At 57.9% G+C, this 17,409-nt stretch overlaps 2 protein-coding genes across 8 annotated transcripts in view, besides 7 other annotated features; one reads left to right on the top strand and one right to left on the bottom strand.

Annotated features, from left to right (window-relative positions):
- Positions 5-811: an enhancer, noted in NCBI's record as "H3K27ac-H3K4me1 hESC enhancer chr19:14676079-14676885 (GRCh37/hg19 assembly coordinates)". NCBI's record gives its function as "activates a minimal SCP1, AML or CMV promoter by ChIP-STARR-seq in naive H9 embryonic stem cells {active_cell/tissue: H9 hESC(naive)}" and the evidence as "EXISTENCE:reporter gene assay evidence [ECO:0000049][PMID:30033119]".
- TECR (trans-2,3-enoyl-CoA reductase) overlaps positions 98-17,409 on the bottom strand; it is a 38,255-nt gene continuing 20,943 nt past the window's right edge. For 3 of the 7 annotated variants that reach the window (NR_038103.2, XM_047439737.1, XM_006722945.3), the window contains 12 exons: positions 3,503-3,553; positions 2,821-2,904; positions 2,376-2,420; positions 2,175-2,278; positions 1,981-2,096; positions 1,791-1,896; positions 1,220-1,292; positions 1,086-1,129; positions 955-1,012; positions 788-876; positions 415-460; positions 98-334 (listed from right to left, as the gene is read on the bottom strand). Coding sequence is in view for 5 of the 7 variants with exons in the window: in XM_006722945.3 (XP_006723008.1) it covers positions 207-334; positions 415-460; positions 788-876; positions 955-1,012; positions 1,086-1,129; positions 1,220-1,292; positions 1,791-1,896; positions 1,981-2,096; positions 2,175-2,278; positions 2,376-2,420; positions 2,821-2,904; positions 3,503-3,553 (944 nt within the window). In the remaining 2 variants the exon portion in view is untranslated. Of the gene's footprint in view, positions 335-414; positions 461-787; positions 877-954; positions 1,013-1,085; positions 1,130-1,219; positions 1,293-1,790; positions 1,897-1,980; positions 2,097-2,174; positions 2,279-2,375; positions 2,421-2,820; positions 2,938-3,502; positions 3,554-17,409 lie in introns of all 7 variants that reach the window. The other 4 variants (XM_011528442.3, NM_001321170.1, NM_138501.6 and 1 more) reach the window with 2 other exon arrangements.
- Positions 1,389-1,538: a silencer, noted in NCBI's record as "silent region_10260". NCBI's record gives its function as "represses an Ori minimal core promoter by ATAC-STARR-seq in GM12878 lymphoblastoid cells {active_cell/tissue: GM12878}" and the evidence as "EXISTENCE:reporter gene assay evidence [ECO:0000049][PMID:35858748]".
- Positions 2,428-3,235: an enhancer, noted in NCBI's record as "H3K27ac-H3K4me1 hESC enhancer chr19:14673655-14674462 (GRCh37/hg19 assembly coordinates)". NCBI's record gives its function as "activates a minimal SCP1, AML or CMV promoter by ChIP-STARR-seq in naive H9 embryonic stem cells {active_cell/tissue: H9 hESC(naive)}" and the evidence as "EXISTENCE:reporter gene assay evidence [ECO:0000049][PMID:30033119]".
- The window catches only part of DNAJB1 (DnaJ heat shock protein family (Hsp40) member B1), a 45,623-nt gene continuing 33,900 nt past the window's right edge, over positions 5,687-17,409 (top strand). Inside the window, exons 1-2 of the mRNA XM_047438745.1 lie at positions 5,687-6,047; positions 15,566-15,695. The gene's annotated coding sequence lies outside the window, so the exon portion shown is untranslated. The remainder of the gene's footprint in view (positions 6,048-15,565; positions 15,696-17,409) is intronic.
- Positions 8,682-9,562: an enhancer, noted in NCBI's record as "H3K4me1 hESC enhancer chr19:14667328-14668208 (GRCh37/hg19 assembly coordinates)". NCBI's record gives its function as "activates a minimal SCP1, AML or CMV promoter by ChIP-STARR-seq in naive and primed H9 embryonic stem cells {active_cell/tissue: H9 hESC(naive and primed)}" and the evidence as "EXISTENCE:reporter gene assay evidence [ECO:0000049][PMID:30033119]".
- Positions 9,217-9,316: a silencer, noted in NCBI's record as "silent region_10259". NCBI's record gives its function as "represses an Ori minimal core promoter by ATAC-STARR-seq in GM12878 lymphoblastoid cells {active_cell/tissue: GM12878}" and the evidence as "EXISTENCE:reporter gene assay evidence [ECO:0000049][PMID:35858748]".
- Positions 9,563-10,444: an enhancer, noted in NCBI's record as "H3K4me1 hESC enhancer chr19:14666446-14667327 (GRCh37/hg19 assembly coordinates)". NCBI's record gives its function as "activates a minimal SCP1, AML or CMV promoter by ChIP-STARR-seq in primed H9 embryonic stem cells {active_cell/tissue: H9 hESC(primed)}" and the evidence as "EXISTENCE:reporter gene assay evidence [ECO:0000049][PMID:30033119]".
- Positions 13,898-14,397: an enhancer, noted in NCBI's record as "H3K4me1 hESC enhancer chr19:14662493-14662992 (GRCh37/hg19 assembly coordinates)". NCBI's record gives its function as "activates a minimal SCP1, AML or CMV promoter by ChIP-STARR-seq in primed H9 embryonic stem cells {active_cell/tissue: H9 hESC(primed)}" and the evidence as "EXISTENCE:reporter gene assay evidence [ECO:0000049][PMID:30033119]".

The following is a 17,409-nucleotide window of genomic DNA, read 5'->3' as shown; positions in this document are numbered from 1 at the left end:
CCAGAGTCCCCTCTTACTGCTCCGACGCGAGAGTGGGGAGAGAGTGAAGGGCAGTGTGGTGGTCCCCAACCCCGGAAAGAAACACACAGAGCCCGAGTCCGACTGGGGCAGGCGGGCTTTATTCCGGGTGCTGGAGAGCTGTGGGCCCCACTCCTCCCCCAGAATGCCACCGGGTTGAGGGGCTGAGCCTCAGCAGGGGTGAGCGCTCAGAGCAGGAAGGGGATGATGGGCATGCGCAGGGGCGGGTAGTCCCGGAACTCCTTCAGGTAGCTGCGGTGCTTGCCCTTGGCCCAGATGGTCATCTGGGTGAAGCCCACCAGGGAGAACAGGGCCACTGCAGGAAAGAACGGGCGTCAGGGAGGGGCTGCCGGCCCGGAGGGGCAGGGCCCCGCCGAGGGAGGGCGGCAGGCTCACCTGGGAGACACTGCGTCATGATGGCGAAACCGATCCAGGACCCCACCTGTGGGCAGGGGCGGAGAGTGAGCGTGGGCAGCCTCGCAACCCGTGTATGTGGCTGTCCTGGACTCAGCCAGCCACCTCCCGCCGCCCCTGCTTTCTGAGTCAGGGATGGGAACCCAATTCCAGCGGAGGCGGGGCTGTATACGGCGGAAGCCCAGCGGCACACGCCTCCCCGCCACCACAGCAGAGAGGCCGCGGTCTCCACCTCCCAATGCTCGCAGTGCAGGCGGCAAAAGCAGCTGCCCAGCCAGGCGCCCCATCCTAGGGGCTGGTCCCTCCACATGGGACCCCAAGTCCCAGGGCAGAGAGGGGTAAGGCAGCCCCTCACCTCGTAGGTGTAGTTGGGGCAGGACACCAGCAGGAAGAGCCACGTGAAGGGGTTCTTGGTGGGGTATGGGATCTTCCGCGTCTTGGACCCTGGCAGGCAGGACAGAAGGAGAAAGTCAGACCCCCTCACCCAGCCCAGCTGTCCCCCTGCCCCCAGCAGGCACTCACCAGCGGGCCGCAGGTCCCGCAGGGCCATGTGGATGGAGAAGTTGCCGAGCTGGCAGATCTGTCAGAGAAGCAGGATCAGCCTAGGGCCGCCCAGACTCCCCCGACCCCGTCCCCACACCCAGCCTCCTTACCACAAAGATGGCGAGCGCCAGTTTCACCTGCTGAGCTCCGTAGGCTGAAGAGGAAGCAGGGAGGGGAGCCCATGAGGGGAGGACCCGCTGGGTGGGGACCGTGGGGGAGGGAAGGATGGTCTGAGGCCACTTACTAGGGGGAGTGTAGAGAGGGTGATTGATGTAATAGGCCATCCACGCGGCGAAGCCCCAGTAGTAGGTGCAGTTCTGAAAGGGAGCAGGGCAGGGATGGGACTTGGGCCAGCACCGGACAAGGCAGATGCTGCCCATGTCTCATCCCGAGGGGCCTGGGAGCATGGTGGGAAAGGACAGGAGGGGCCTTGGGGCGGGGCTGGGGAGGATAGGCGGGGCCAAGGGGTGAGGCTAGGGCAGGGCTCTGTGAGGGCGTGGTGGACAGGAGGGGCCTAGGGGTGAAACTGGGGCGGGGCTCTGCAGGGGCGGGGCTGGGGGGATAGGCGGTGCCTAGGGGTGGGACTAGGGTGGATAGGCAGGCCTAGGGGCCCGACGGGGGCGGGGCTGGGGAGGACGGGCGGGGTCTAGAGGCTCTGCGAGGGCGGGGCTGGGGAGGTTAGGCGGGGCCTAGGGGTAGGGCTCTGCTGGGGCGTAGTGGCAGACAGGAAGGGCCTTGGGGTGGGGCTCGGTGGGGGCGGGGCGGGGTGGGGCAGAAAGGCGGGGCTTAGGGGTGAGGCGGGGACGGGCTCTCACCTTGAAGATGTTGCGCAAAGGCATAGTGCCATGGGAGAAGCGGTGCACGAAGAGCGTCTCCAGCAGGCGCTTGATGTAGTGGAATGAGTGACAGATGCAGGCGAGGCTGGTCGGGGGGAGCAGGCTCAGCTGGGGCTGGTCCGGCAGGTCTTCTGCCTTCCCCTACCCTCCTCCCACCTGCCCCACTTACTGCACCACTGTATGCCGACTGGACGTAAAGTCATATTTGTGGCCATAGATGAAGGGCACTCGGAAGTAGAAGAGCAGGTAGATGAAAAGGGGCCCCGCGTACTCTGTTAGGAAGACCTGAGAGTAGAGGGGGGCAAGATGAGTCACCCAACGTGGCTGACGGGAAAAGAGGCCGTGGGTAGGGTCAGGACTCACCGTCACCCAGCTGATCTGGGCCCCCAGGTCCCGGAAGTACAGTGTGGCCGTGGTGCCCACGGGCAGCTTCTGCAGAACATCCTCATCCTTCAGGGACTTGCCCTCTGCAGAGAGGCGGGCCAGGGCTCAGGGGCTACCCGGGCCTTCTCCCACTGCCACCCAGGAGCCCAGGGGGCGGGCCGAGTGGACAGCTGTACTCACTGGGGTCCAGGCGGAGGGACTGGCGGGCGGGGTACCACTGCGGATCTGCGGGGAGAACAGGGCAGTTACAGCCCACAGCCTGGCAGGGCTCAGCCGGTCCGCTGCCCAGCCACTGTGCCAGCTTCTCAGGGTTCCCAGGGTGCAAGGACCCCAGGACTCCACAGCTCCTCCCACCTGGGGGCAAACCCTCAGGCTTGTGCGGTTTCAGGACACAAGCCAGAAGAGCGCGGGCAGAAGCAGGATCTTGTCCTTCCCAGAGCCTAGCAAGGGCGTTCCTGCGGAGTGCCACGTGGAGGCGCCTGCCCCAGTCACGCCCCAGAAGCCTGGGCCACACTGGGGCATCTCTGCAGGCCCCTGGGAGAGGGGTGCAGGATGGGATCCCTCCCACCCTAAGGTCCCTGGTCAAAGGGGTTGCAGGGGCAGTGTGGCCGGGACTAGAACTCACGGGTCTTAGTGAAGAGGTTCTTGATCTCCGCAATGGTGGCGTGGGGCTCCACCTGGGGGAAGCACAGGCGCAGGGACGTCAGCTCTGCGGGGAGCCCAGACTCAGGATGGGGAGGTACTAAAGGGGATGGCAGGCTGGGGGTTGGGCTGTAGCTATGGGAAGGGGGAAGGGCTGGGGTCCAGGCCTCTGCCTGCAGTCAGGGAAGGACCACCGAGGGCCCTGCCAGTGCAGTGACAGCAGGGGTCTGGGGCTCCACTTTTACCCTCAGCCAGCAGGCCCCCAGCCCGGCTAGTGGCGGATTAAGCATGGGAAGGCAAGCCTGCTTCTCTGCCCCTCCTCTCCACTTCTCACCCATGACTCTCCCAGGAGCAAAGGCCCTCTGTCCTCCCCAGGGACAGCGCAAGCCCCTTCCCCCAGGCCCGGCCTCAGCAGGGGCAAGGCTCACTCCTCCACCGCCCTCCCAGGACCAAAATCCCCGCAGGGTCCACTGAGACTCCTGTGCCTCCATTTCCCCGCCACACCCAGGGGACATGGCTATCCACCCTACCCCAAGTGAGGGCATACCCCTCCATAGGGCAGGGGGTGGGGCACAAAGGGCCCCACTGGACAGCTCCTGGGCTATAAGGATTGGGGTCCCGGGCCCAGTGCCCTTGGCCCAGTGCAGCCCACGCCCCAGTCCTACCTTGTCCAAGAAACACAGCTTCTCCCTTGTCTTTGCGTCCAGAATCTCCACCTCGAAGAAGAGAACAGCCTTTTTAGGTTTCTTGGCCACCTTTGGGGGTGTGGGCCTGGGGAGCCCATTGAGGCCAGGGAGGAGGCCTGGGGTGGCCTCCCGGGCCAACAAGCTCAAGTTCAAGTCCATGCCGCCTGCCACCAGCCCTGCCACTCGGCTCTGCCCACGGTGGCCAGCAGCCCCAGCTGCCGGCCGTCAGCCCCCACCACCGACCTCCCCACGGGAAGCAGCCCTGGGCCGGGCAAGCGCGATCAAATTCTGCCGCGGTGCTGGAAAGGAGCCCGTGCCGGCCCTGGCACTGCCGACTTCTGTGCCAGATGTAACCCGAGTGGCAACCACAGCCACAGCCCAGCTAAATATAAAACCACCCCAGACTGCGCCCCCCAGGAGCCATGCCACAGACCTTCTCTGAGGGGGGCTTGGGAGTCTCCCCGGGGAGCCAGGCTGCCCTGAAAGCAGCTTTTGAGTGGTCACCTCAAAACCCTCAACGGCACCAGCACAGGGAAAGCCCCAGGGGCAGGCATGACAACACCTCCCAGCCCCCGCCCTGCACAGAGCCAGTGGCTAGAGGAGAGTGAGAGGCCAGCGGGCCGTGCAGGCCCCAGCCCGCAGCTCAGGCCTAGGGAGTTCACTGGGCTTGGAGAAATCCCAGCTATTTTGAGAATCCGCGAGACAGATCATCCATTTCCCCTTCTGAGCTGTAAGAGACACTTTGGATTATTTTCCTTGTGCATTTGTGTTACCAGGGAGGTGACAGATTCTGGAGTTATGGGTGCAGAGAGCCTCTCTCGAAGTGTGGAAAGGATCGGGGTGTGTGGAAGTTTTAGGCAACCGCCTCCAGCTTGGGCTGATGAGGTCTCCCCAACCTTCCTCCCCACCCACTTCTCACCTTATAGCCACCTGTGGGGCAGGCTTTCCACTGAGTCAGCCCAAACACTGCACCCTCACCCAGGACCTGCGCCCCACTAAAGCCCGGCGCTTCCTGCGTCCAAGAGCCAGGCCTGTGCCAGCCCCTGAGGTAGGAGTCTGGCCCAGCCCTCCCTGAGCCCCCAGGCCAGTGATGAACGATGGGGGTGCAGAGGGGCAGGGCTGGAGGGAGGCAGCCCCCGGGGATCTGACCCACCCTATGCAGGGGTCAGTGCAATCCTATTATACAGGGGTCGTGGCAAGCAGGCAGGCCTGATCCCAAGTCAGCCACCAGCCAGCAATTCTTGGGGGACCCTTCCTACCCACAGAAACCCAGCGGGGGCCCCCAGAGGCTGCCTGAGGAAAAGGAGCAGGACACAATGCTCAGAAACAAACCTCTGGGCTGGGGCCATCCCAGGGCAGGCCCACCCACCCAGAGCCCAGGGAGACCGGGCCACGGCAGCTAGGGCCCATCCTGAAGATGAGGGCACCACGGTCAAGCCAGAGAAGCTGGGTACCCCTCCTGCACATTCCCAACGACAGCGGGAGACAAGGGGGCTTGGTGGCCTGCACTCGGGAACCGTAACCAGCCCTGCCTTGTAGTCCCTGGGGGACCCCAGGCATGTCACCTCTCTCTAGGCCTCAGAAGGGGGCAGGTAGGAAGCAGACTACCTCCCAGGACTGTGACGGTCCCCTGAGACAATGCATGGGGTACACTAGGTGACCCCTGACAGATGGGAGGCACCCCATGGGATAGGAGGCATTGTTGCCCGTGGGTTTGGTTCAGATCCCCACTCCCCTGCTGGCCTGGCAGTCACCACAGCATGGGGGCCTATTTCCCCAGCCATGACACACTCGCCCCCACTTCCTGGACAGGAGGGTGGGAATGGGCCCAGCAGCCAGGAAATCCTGGCCCACGGGGCCTCCTGAGTCCCTGCTGTCAACTCCAGGCACTGCCTGGCCTTGTGGCCTCTAGGGGAAGGTTACTGAACTCCTCCAAGCCACAGCGATAACAAGGCCAAAGAGCTGGCACATGGAGGGGCCAGAAAAAAAGAGCTCGGTCACACCACGCAGGACGTTGGGCCCCACCAAGGGGATATGTAGGATAGGGACAGAGGACACGGGGCGGGATCCACGGGAAAGGGTTAGCACAGCAGGGCCCTGGGCGGGCACGGGGCCTGCCCTGTGGCTGCAGGTATATTAATAGTTCCTGGGCCCCAGGCAGGCAGTGCCCACATGCTTCCAAGCCCGTGTGGCCTGTAGGAAGGCAGCCTAGCGTCCACAGGGAGAGAAGGCCTCCGAGTTCCTGCTGAACCACTCAACAGCTTAAAATACAACCAGCCCCTCTCCCTGTCCAGCCAGCTGCTAGTGGGAGGGGTGAAATCGTACCCTGCTCCCCCCAACCTGGGCACCAAACCAGGGCCCAAGAGGGAGAGTACGGCCATCGGGGTCCCGGCTAGCTGCTGGGAGAGGACGCCGGGCTGCGGCAGGAGGGGGTAGCGAGAGAGGGGCCACGCTCACAGCTGCAGCAGTGGTGCCCAGGCCAGCCTGAGGCCCAAGGAGAGGAGACGCCCAAACCTGCAAGGAGGTAAGCCCGGGCTGCAAGGCAGCACCTAGGGGCCCCTACAGACAAGAAATGCCCAAGGCTAGGGCCACCTGGGCAGGATGAGTCCTCAGTGGGACGGCCGTCCGTCTCCCATTTCCTGCCCCAAATCCCCAGCTCGTCGGCCATCTCCTCCTAGAGAGAGGACTGAAAGGCTCTGGGGGGAGCAGGAGACCTCTCCATACTATTCTTGCAATTCCCTGTGTCTCTATAATTTTTTTTTTTTTTTGAGACAGAGTCTCACTCTGTCGCCCAGGTTGGAGTGCAGCAGTGCGATCTTGACTCACTGCAACCTCCGCCCCCCAGGTTCAAACGATTCTCCTGCCTCAGCCTCCAGAGTAGCTGGGATTACAGGCACACACCACCACATCCAGCTAATTTTTTGTATTTTAGGAGAGATGGGGTTTCACCATGTTGCCCAGGCTGGTCTCGAACTCCTGAGCTCAGGCAATCCACCACCTCGGCCTCCCAAAGTGCTAGGATTATAGGCGTGAGCCACCTGGCCCGGCCTATAATTATTTCTAAGTAAGAAAGTTAAATAAGATATTCCAGGTGGGGTAAAAGAAATAAGTTACGCTAGGAAACAAGCCAGACACAAAGGTCCCATATCTATGCAAAATACCCAGAGCAGACAGACAGAAAAGCAAATTGGAGGGGCCAGGGGCTGGGCGGGGGGAATGGGGAGTGGCTGCTGCTGGGTACCCGGTCTCCTTTCAGAGTGAGGAAAATGTTCTGGGACGAGACAGAGGTGGAGGCTGCACAATGATGCACGTGCACTCAATGCCACTGTTCACTTTTAAATGGTTAGTTTCATGTTACATGAATTTCACCTCAATAAATTATTGTTTAAAGGGGTGAGGGGTAACAAACAGGCCCCACATACCCATCAAAATAAAAACAGTCGGGTGGGAGGAGCAGGAGAGGTTCCCCACCCCTCAGAGGGAGGGCCTAATGTGAGACCTCATCGAGGGCTCCGCGCCCCACACCCCACTGCCACCCCAATCTCTGCTCTGTGCCTGCCACACACACACACGCCTGCCCAGGCCTGAGGCCAACAGGGGGCAGGGGCTCCCAGGGGAAGCCCAGGGCTGCAGAGGGTACAGGCAGCTGCTGAACAGAGCCCCAGGCAGGGGATCCTGAGCACAGACGGGGAGGTGGCAGGCTCTGGCCCCATCTCCAGGAGAAGCGGTGAGGCAGGGAGGACAGACAGGACCTTCTGAGGAAGCCCACGGAGCCACTCGGAGGGGCTGGGAGGGGCTGAGATGCTCTGGGTGGATGAAGGGATACCTGTGGGAGGGGGGCTACTGGTGTCAGCGAGGTCCCAGCACTGGCCACGGGCAAGGGGTGAGACCACATAGCCTCAGGCACGACGGGCAGGGAGAGGGCAGGAACGGGCAGACAGGCAGGCACTCTGGCCTGGGGCACAGGCTGGTGGCTCTGCCGGCCTGTGGCTCTGTGATGACAGTTCCACTAGCCTGAGAGGAATTCTCACCAGGAGGCCCAAGATTCCCGGGGCCCAGCCAACAGCAACTCGTCGCAGCACGAGGTCAGGGCAGAGCCAAGAGCCAGGACACACGGTGCGGCGTGAAGCGCACCCTGCAAGAGGGAGCAGGGGCGAGGTTTGTGCCTCCCAAGCCCAGAGGGGAGTGCCGCAAGCAACAGAGCCCGTCTTCACTGTCTTTGTGGTCATGAAGATATTACTAATGGGGGCAGGAGGAGTGAAAAGGGGGGCTCTCGTTGTCTAAGCACTTGTCACAGCTCCTGGGAACCCGCCCGCCTGGTGGGTGAACAACCCAGAGAAGCAGACCTGCCCATTTCCTGGCTGTGTGGCCCTGGGCAAGTTACCCAACCTCTCTGAACTTCCATCTACTCATGGCAAAGTGGGCTGTCCCCAGCTGCCATCTGACAGGGTTACCGTAATCATCCCCAGTTTAGGATAAATCTTATTAAGGATAAATATAGGCCGGGCGTGGTGGCTCACGCCTGTAATGCCAGCACTTTGGGAGGCCGAGGCGGGCGAATCACGAGGTCAGGAGATCGAGACCATCCTGGCTAACACGGTGAAACCCCATCTCTACTAAAAATACAAAAAATTAGCCGGGTGCGGTGGTGGGTGCCTGTAGTCCCAGCTACTCGGGAGGCTGAGGCAGGAGAATGGCGCGAACCCGGGAGGCAGAGCTTGCAGTGAACCGAGATCGCGCCACTGCACTCCAGCCTGGGCGACAGAGCAAGACTCCATCTCAAAAAAAAAGAATAAATATGATGACCGGGCACGGTGGCTCATGCCTGTAATCCTAGCACTTTGGGAGGCCAAGGTGGGCGGGTTACCTGAGGTCAGGAGTTCAAGACCAGCCTGGACAACATGGCGAAACCCCGTCTCTACCAAAGATACAAAAATTAGCCAGGCGTGGTGGTGCATGCCTGTAATCCCAGCTACTCAGGAGGCTGTGGCAGGAGAATTGCTTGAACCCAGGAGGAGGAGGTTGCAGTGAGCTGATATCGCACCACTGCACTCCAGCCTGGGAGACAGAGCAAGACTCCATCTCAAAATTTAAAAAAAGAATAAATATGATTAGGCGGGGCACTATGGCTCACACCTGTAATCCCAGCACTTTGGGAGGCCGAAGCAGGCAGATCACCTGAGGCCAGGAGTTCGAGACCAGCCTGCCCAACATGGTGAAACCCCGTCTCTAATAAAAATACAAAAATTAGCCAGGCATGGTGGTGTGTGCCTGTAATCCCAGCTACTCAGGAGGTTGAGTCAGGAGAATTGCTTGAACTCAGGACGGTGGAGGTTGCAGTGAGCTGAGTTTATGCCATTGCACTCCAGCCTGGGCGACACAGCAAGACCCTGTCTCAAAATAAATAAATAAATAAATAAATAAATAAATAAATAAATAAGATTAGACCAACACTAGCAGAACAGCCATGCCAGGTGCACAAGGGGGCCAAACCCTGGCAGGATCCACAGGCCCCTTCTCCTGGGACGCTGACCATGCTCTTGAAGGGGCCCATCCACAGGAAGCCAGGGCCAGAGAGCTGGTGCACTGATGCCTCGCCCAGCTGGTCACAGTGAACCCAAACCCTAACAATAGCGAGATACTTTCGGTGCAGAGGCCGAGCTGACCCGTCACCACCGGGATGACTGGCTGCAAGCGGCGGAGGCTGCGACGCTCCCCACTGCCCCCTTGTGGCCGCACAGACTTACTCCCGCCTGCTGGAAGGGCACCCGCAGCAGCCGGCTCAGGAACAGTCCCAAAGCCGATGTCAGGGACGGAGACAGCTCTGGTGCAGAATGGGACCTTAACCCTGGCCCTGCCACCAGCCAAGAGAGCTCAGGGAGCCTGCATTCATTTATCCATTCATTCATTCCTGACTCCCTCCTTCCCATACCCCAGGCACTGTTCCAGTTCCTGGGATATGGCAGTGAAAAAAACCAAGCCAGCCTCTGGGGTTCATGGGACCTGAATTCTAGCCTGTGCGTGCTGGGCAAGCAGGGGGTGGGGGCAGATAGCCATAGCATGTTTTGTCACCAAGAGTTGTGAACAAAACTAGAAGGTTGTGGGGGAGGTCACAATGTGGTTTTTTTTGTTTTTGTTTTTTTTTTGAGAGAGTCTCGCTGTCGCCCAGGCTGGAATGCAGTGGCGCGATCTCGGCTCACTGCAACCTCCAAGAGGATGGCCATTTGAGAGTGGTCAGAGAAGCCCTTTCTGAGAAAGTGGCGTGTGAACAAAGGCCAGTAGACAGTGGGGGAACCAGTGCAGTCCAGGCAGAGGGAACAGTAAGTGCCAAGGCCCTGAGGCTGGACCATACCTAGCGTGGCTGAGCAGGAAGGAGTCCTGTGTGGCCTGAGCAGAGTGAGTCAGGGAGAGAGTGGGAGGAGGTGAGGGCAGAAAGGTGATGTGGCGGTCTGTGCCACGGCTTTGTGGGCCACGGGGAGGACGTTAGCTTTTACTCTGAGTGAAGTGGCAGCCATAGAGGGTTCTTGAGCAGAGGAGGGATGAGACTTGGCTCAGGTTCAAGACTTGGCTTCCCCAGCTTTACCTGCTTGCCACTGCTGGGTGGAACAGACTGGAGGAGTGAGGGCAGAAGCTGGGAGCAAAGAGGGAGCTATAGAGAGGTGAAAAGTGGGCTGGGCGCAGTGGCTCACGCCTGGAATCCCAGCACTTTAGGAGGCTGAGACAGGATGATCACTTAAGCCCAGGAGTTCAAGACCAGCTTGGGCAAAATAGCAAGGCTCTGCCTCCACAAAAAGTATTTATAAAAATTAGCTGTGTCCACGCATGGTGACTCACACCTGTAATCCAAGCACTTTGGGAGGCTGAGGTGGGCAGATCACCTGAGGTCAGGAGTTCGAGACCAGCCTGGCCAACATGGTAAAACCCCGTGTAAAAACACAAAAATTAGCCAAGTGTGGTGGCACACACCTGTAATCCCAGCCACTTGGGAGGCTGAGGCACAAGAATCACTTAAACCCAGGAGATGGAGGTTGTGGTGAGCCAAGATTGCACCACTGCACTCCAGCCTGGGCAATAGAGTGAGGCTCTGTCTAAAAAAAAAAAAAAAAAAAAAAAAAAGAATAAATAAAAATACAAAAAAATTTGCTGGGCATGGCAGTGGGCACCTGTAATCCCAGCTACTCAGGAGGCTGAGGCAGGAGAATCGCTTGAACCCAGGAGGCAGAGGTTGCAGTGAGCCGAGATCACACCACTGCACTCCAGCCTGGGCCACAGAGCAAGACTCCATCTCAAAAAACAAAAATAAAAAATTAGCTGGGTGTGGTGACTCGCACCTATGGTCCTACCTACTCCTCAGGGGCTGTGACAGAAGGATCGCTTAAGCCTAGGAGTTCCAGGCTGCAGTGAGCCATGATTGATTACACTACGGCACCCCTGCCTGGGGGACAAAGCAAGACCCTGTCTCAAAAAAAAAAAAACAAGGCCAGGCGCAGTGGCTCACGCCTGTAATCCCAGCACTCTGGGAGGCGGACGTGGGCAGATCACAAGGTCAAGAGATCAAGACCAGCCAGGCTAACATGGTGAAACCCCATCTCTACTAAAAATACAAAAATTAGCTGGGCATGGTGGCACACGCCTGTAGTCCCAGCTACTCAGGAGGCTGAGGCAAGAGAATCGATTGAACCCAGGAGGCGGAGGTTGCAGTGAGCAGAGGTCAGGCCACTGCACTCCAACCTGGTGACAGAGTGAAACTCCATCTCAAAAAAAAAAAGCACAAGGCAGAGACAAGCAGTGAAATTCTGGACAGATGTGGAGGTGAAGAGTGGGTGTGGCCTGAGAGTGGAGTGGGTGTGGGGATGAGAGGTACAGGGAAGGAGGGAGGAGCAGGCACCACCTGAGCCAAGGCTGGAAGAGCTGAGCCTGCAATTCCTGCTCATCCCCTGGAGGCGCAGCCTGAAGGCCTGGCACACACAGCCATGCACAGAAGGCCTCTGGAGCTTCGGCTTCCCCAGCTTCACAAACAAGCCAAGACTGGTGCTTCCCAGTCCTCTCCCGGCTGTAAACAAGCAGGTTCAATGGCCTTGCTGGCGGCAGAGTCCACACCACAGGACCCAGCAAGGCACCTGCCTGCCCTCTCAGCCCCAGAAGAGGGGCAGACCCGGGCCAGAGCGGGAAGCTTGGATTCTGGGCCGGCCTCATCTCCCATGGCTTATGAACCTGAAACTTCTGTGTGTCCTAGGACGTGACCTGCCTAATGGTGATGAGTGAGAACAGCGACCAACAGTTATTTCACGTTCCCTGCCCGGGGCTGGAACTGCCACAGCTTCCCAGACATCTCTCCTGCAGCAGCCGGAGGGAGCAGGAGCCATTAGCTCCGTTTCACAGATGAAGAGGCCAAGATCTAAGCAGTAAATCCCAGAGCCCAGAAGACCACGCGTGCATGTTGAAAGCCAGGCCATACCCCACCACACATGGGCCTCCAGGGCCCCCTTGCAGAGCTGATGTGGTGCCGCACAGCCCACCTGTTGAGCTCAAAGCTCCGGCAGGCTCTCTCGGACCCCGCAGGGGACTGCACTTCCTGGTAGGAAGCATCTCCCGAGTCTGGGGCACAAGAGGCCTGGCTGGGGGTGCGAGCCCTGGTCAGTGCAACCAGGGCCCCAGGTAAAGACACAAAGGGCCTGACAGGTCCTGCAGCTGGCCAGCCAGGCACTCACCATCCCCGCGCCGGGCACAAGCGCTGCTGCACTCATCGCCTGAGCTCCCTGTCCAGCCAATGCCCAGCATAGAGGTCGGAGGCCTGGCCCGATCATGCCCAGAGCCACGCCGGCCACCTCGCCCCCATCACCTCGCCCCCATCACAAATGCAGAGACTCCGGCACATTCATCTGGACTCCGGCTCAGCGGCTCAGCCCTCTCGGCTCCCTTTCCTTCCCACTTCCAGAAATATCAAGTCAACCTGCTAATGCCAGGATGGCTGAGAAGACCTAGGGCTCAGCTGCCAGGAACCCTGCACAGGCCACACCTGCTCGGCCAGAAATACCACCTTCCCCAGTGGCCTCAGTGTATGACCTCGTTTCTCAGTGGCACCCGGGGGCGGCTGCACCAGCCTCCCCGAGGCGCCACAGTGGAAGCAGAATGTCACCCAGGGTGGGGAGGAAGGGCTGAGAGTGGCTGACCTCCCACTCCCAGGTCCCTGGACCGCTCTGCTCCTGTCTTCTACCTGTGCTGGCAAGACGAGAGGTGCCAGGGTCTCAATGCCAATGTCTCTGGGCTCTCGGATCCGAGGCCAGGGCCAGGTGCAGAGGCAGCGGTAGCCCGGGACCCGGAGAAGCTGGAGCTGCTGTTCCCATCCAGCAGAGCCCCGAGCGAGCAGGTAGCAATCCAGCCTTGGAAGATGGTCATCGGACGCACGAGCTCCTGGCTTGGGCGAGCAGCCACAGCCATTCATAGAGGATGAATATGGCACAAGACAAACACAGTGGGAAGTTGGAGAACCTGGGTCTCAGCCCTGGGCCTGCCCCCCATTCTCAGTGGTACCCACAGCCTACACCCATCCCTGCGGTTGTGCCCTCAGGGCCTCCGAGGAGCACTGGCCCACCCAGAGCGACGCTGATCTCGCCCGTTTCATTCAGACGTGACATCTATCAGATGCTCACCCTGTACCTAGGACTATGCTGAGACTGCCACCCAGGCCTCACCCAGGCCCTATAAGAAAAAGACTGGGCCGGGCGCAGTGGCTCACACCTGTAATCCCAGCACTTTGGGAGGCCGAGGCGGGTGGATCACGAGGTCAGGAGATCAAGACCATCCTGGCTAACACAGTGAAACCCCGTCTCTACTAAAAGTACAAAAAAAGTTAGCCGGGCATGGTGGCGGGTGCCTGTAGTCCCAGCTACTCGGGAGGCTGAGGCAGGAGAATGGCGTGAACCCGGGAGGCGGAGCTTGCAGTGAGCCAGAGATTGCGCCACTGCACTCCAGCCTGGGCGACAGAACGAGACTCCTCTCAAAAAAAAAGAAAAGAAAAGAAAAGAAAAAGACTGTGATGCCTGTTACGTGGCTTGGAAAACTGGGGCTTGGGAACGAGGAAGCCCTCGCCCAAGGTAAGTAGCCTGGAAGTGCCCATGTGAGTGTCCACCCAGCTTGCTCAGGCCCAAAGCTCCTACAATAAAATAATGCCTCCATCCTAGAGAGCAGGGCTATGTGCAACAGAGAAAGGAAAAGGCAGGCCGGGCACGGTGGCTCACGCCTATAATCCCAGCAGTTTGGGAGGCCAGACTGGGAGGATTGCTTGAGCCCGGGAGGTCAAGGCTGCAGTGACCTATCATTGCACCACTGCACTCCAGCCTGGGGGACAGAAGACACGCTATCTCAAAAAAAAAAAAAAAGAAAAAAGAAAGAAAGAAAGAAAGAAAAGAAAAAGGCCAGGCGCGGTGGCTCATGCCTGTAATCTCAGCACTTTGGGAGGCCAAGGTAGATGGACTGCTTGAGCCCAGGAGGTCAAGGCTGAGTTATGACTGCACCACTGACTGCACTCCAGCCTGGGCGACAGAGCGAGACTCCATCTCAAAAAAAAAAAAAGAGAGAAAGAGAGAGAGAGAGAGAGAGAGAGAGGGAGGGAGGGAGAGAGAGAGGGAGGGAGGGAGGGGGAGAGAGAGAGAGAGAAAGGAAAGAAAAAGAGGAAGAAAGGAAGAAATAAAGAAATAAGGGTAAAACCAAACAAAAGAAAAACAAAAACAAAAAAACAAAAAACCCACCACCCTGGATGCGATCCTCCAGCAGACACCAAGAACTGAGCCTCTCTGCCTGGCCTGAGGACCCAGCCCGCTGGCCTCTGCCCCACAGCCTCACACAGCCAGGCTGTACCAGAGCAAAAGGTCTATCAGCAACTCATACCACAGCGGGGCCCAGGCAGGGTTTACAGCTGTGGCAATGCCTCCTGCATGTTTTCCTGTCACTAGCTAAGACAGCCAATGGGCCTAGAAAAGCAGGGGCGCGTCCTCAATGCTGACTGAGAGGCACTGCCACAGGGGGCGGTGTCAGACCTGCCTTGCCTGTCTGCTTCTCCAACTAGTAAATGGGTGTGCCTGCAAGACCATCTAACACAGGGACTGCTTAGGAATTAGGGAATTCCTGCAGCCTGTGCAACATGTCAAAACTCCTTCTCTACACAAAATATAATAATTGGCCAGGTGCAGTGGCTCACGCCTGTAATCCCAGTACTCTGGGAGGCCGAGGTGGGTGGATCACCTGAGGTCAGGAGTTCGAGAGTAGCCTGGCCAACATGATGAAACCCTATCTCTACTAAAAATACAAAAAAATTAGCTGGGTGTGGTGGTGGGTGCCTGTAATCCCAGCTACTCAGGAGCCTGAGGCAGGAGAATCGTTATGAACCTGGGAGGTGGAGGTTGCAGTGAGCCGAGATCGCACCACTGCACTCCAGCCTGGGTGACAAAGCAAGACTCCATATCAAAAAAAGAAAAAAAAATAGTGTCTTTGCAGATATAATTAAGGATCTTAAGATGACATTATCCTGAATTTAAGGTGGACTTAATAAGAGAAAGGAGTGTCCTCATAAGTAAAAGGAGCGGCCGGGTGTGGTAGTTCATGCCTGTAATCCCAGTACTCTGGGAGGCCAAGGTGGGCAGATCATCTGAGGTCAGGAGTTCGACACCAGCCTGGCTAACATGGTGAAACCCTGTCTCTACAAAAATTAGCTGGGCATAGTGGTACGGGCCTGTAGTCCCAGCTACGGGGGAGGCTGAGACAGGAGAATCGCATGAACCCAGGAGGTGAAGGTTGCAGTGAGCTGAGATCACGCCACTATACTGCTGCATGTGCAACAGAGCAAGACTCCATCTAAAAAACAAACAAACCAAAAAACTGACACTCCTGGCCGCTGGGGCCAGCCCTCAAGGAGCTCCAGTGTAAAGGCCAAACACTCAACTCCCCAGGTCCCAGACCCCCAGGGGATGGTCCAGAACTGCATCCCTGCACCCACAGCTGGGTGGCAGTTGGGGACGACACCTGGGTCTCTCTCCAACTCAGGGCAGGAAGGCGCTGTCGGACCAGGAAGCTGGAAGGGGGCCAGAGGCTGAGCCCTGCAGATACAAACTGACTGGAGGAGCAGGAGGAGCTCATCCGGGCCAACCCCCGACTGCCCGAGTCCAGCAGACAGGTTAGTCCACCCCCATGAGCTCAGCTTGCCAAAGAGCCTAGACTGGGATCTACGTGGCAGGCTTTATACACGCGGCGGCAGCTAACACCACCCGCCCACTCACAACCAGCCAGGCACGGAGGCTCATCCTCAACACGAATCATCTCCTTTACAATGTATTCATCCTCTTTTGCAGGTAAGGAAACTGAGGCTCGTTTGTTCACTGACACATGCCAGGCCCTGTTAAGGACTGTGGGGTTCAGCTATAGAAGGAGAGACAAAAATCCCTGCTCGCATGGAACTCACATCTTGGCAAAGAAAGAGTGACAATGAAATAAATCGCTATATGTAATATGTTCAAAGGTGACGTGCGACATGGAAAGAAGAAAGAAAGGAAAGGGGACAGGGAGTGGCAGTTGAAGGGGGCAGGTGTATAGTTTATTTTTTTTATTTTTTTTTTTGAGACAGAGTCTCACTGTGTTGCCCAGGCTGGAGCGCAGTGGCACAATCTCGGCTCACTGCAACCTCCGCATGCCGAGTTCCAGTGATTCTCCTGCCTCAGCCTCCTGAGTAGCTGGGATTACGGGTGCATGCCACCATGCCCAGCTAATTTTTGTATTTTTAGTAGAGATGGGGTTTCACCATGTTGGTCAGGCTCGTCTCAAACTCCTGACCTCGTGATCTGCCCGCCTAAGCCTCCCTAAGTGCTGGGATTACAGGCGTGAGCCACTGCGCCTGGCCTACAGTATTTTATAAAGAGGCCAAAAGCTGAGTGCAGGTCAGGTACGCTGGCTCATGCCTGTAATCCCAGCACTTTGGGAGGCCAGGGCAGGAGGATCACTTGAGCCCAAGAGTTTGAGGCCAGGCTGGGCAACATAGTAAGACCCTTATCTCTACAAAAACTTTTAAAAACTTAGCCGGGTTAGGGGGCCAAGGAGGGCAGATCACAAGGTCTTCAAGACTAGGAGTTCAAGACTAGCCTGGCCAATATGGTGAAACCCCATCTCTATGACAAATACAAAAGTTAGCTGGGCATGGTGGCGCATGCCTGTAGTCCCAGCTCCTTGGGAGGCTGAGGCAGGAGAACTGCTTGAACCCGGGAGGCAGAGGTTGCAGTGAGCTGAGATCGCACCACTGCACCCCAGCCTGGCGACAGAGTGAGACTCCATCTCAAAAAAAAAAAAAAAAAAAAGTCCAATTAAAGGTTGTGGAAATAATTCTGTGAAGGTAATGATGGCTTAGACAAATGGGTCAGCAAACTACAGCCGATAGGGCAACTCTGGTCTACTGCCGGCTTTTGAACCGACTAAAAATGGCTTTAACTTTTGTTTTATCTTTTAAAAAATACATGACGTTTTTACCTTTTTAAGCGGATGGAAAAAAAAAATCAAAGAAACCTATTTCATGATATGTGAAAATTAAATTCAAATTTTGGTGTCCATAAATAGAGTTGTATTGAACACGCCATGCTCACTGGATGTCATCTGTGGCTGCCACAGTGGTATCACTGCTGCTGAGATGTCTGAGATGGTTGGATGCGGTGGCTCCCGCCTGTAATCACAGCACTTTGGGAGGCCAAAGTGAGCAGATCACTTGAAATCAGGAGTTTGAGACCAGCCTGGCCAACATGGTGAACCCGTCTCTACCAAAATACAAAAATTAGCCAGACGTGGTGATGCGTGCCTGTAATCCCAGCTACTTGGGAGGCTGAGACAGGAGAATTGCTTGAACCTGG

Source organism: Homo sapiens, chromosome 19 (genome assembly GCF_000001405.40).
Source record: "Homo sapiens chromosome 19, GRCh38.p14 Primary Assembly".
In the NCBI taxonomy this organism is placed as follows: Eukaryota; Metazoa; Chordata; class Mammalia; order Primates; family Hominidae; genus Homo; species Homo sapiens.
The sequence above is the reverse complement of the archived record's forward strand: the minus strand, read 5'-3'. Positions and strand labels throughout refer to the sequence as shown.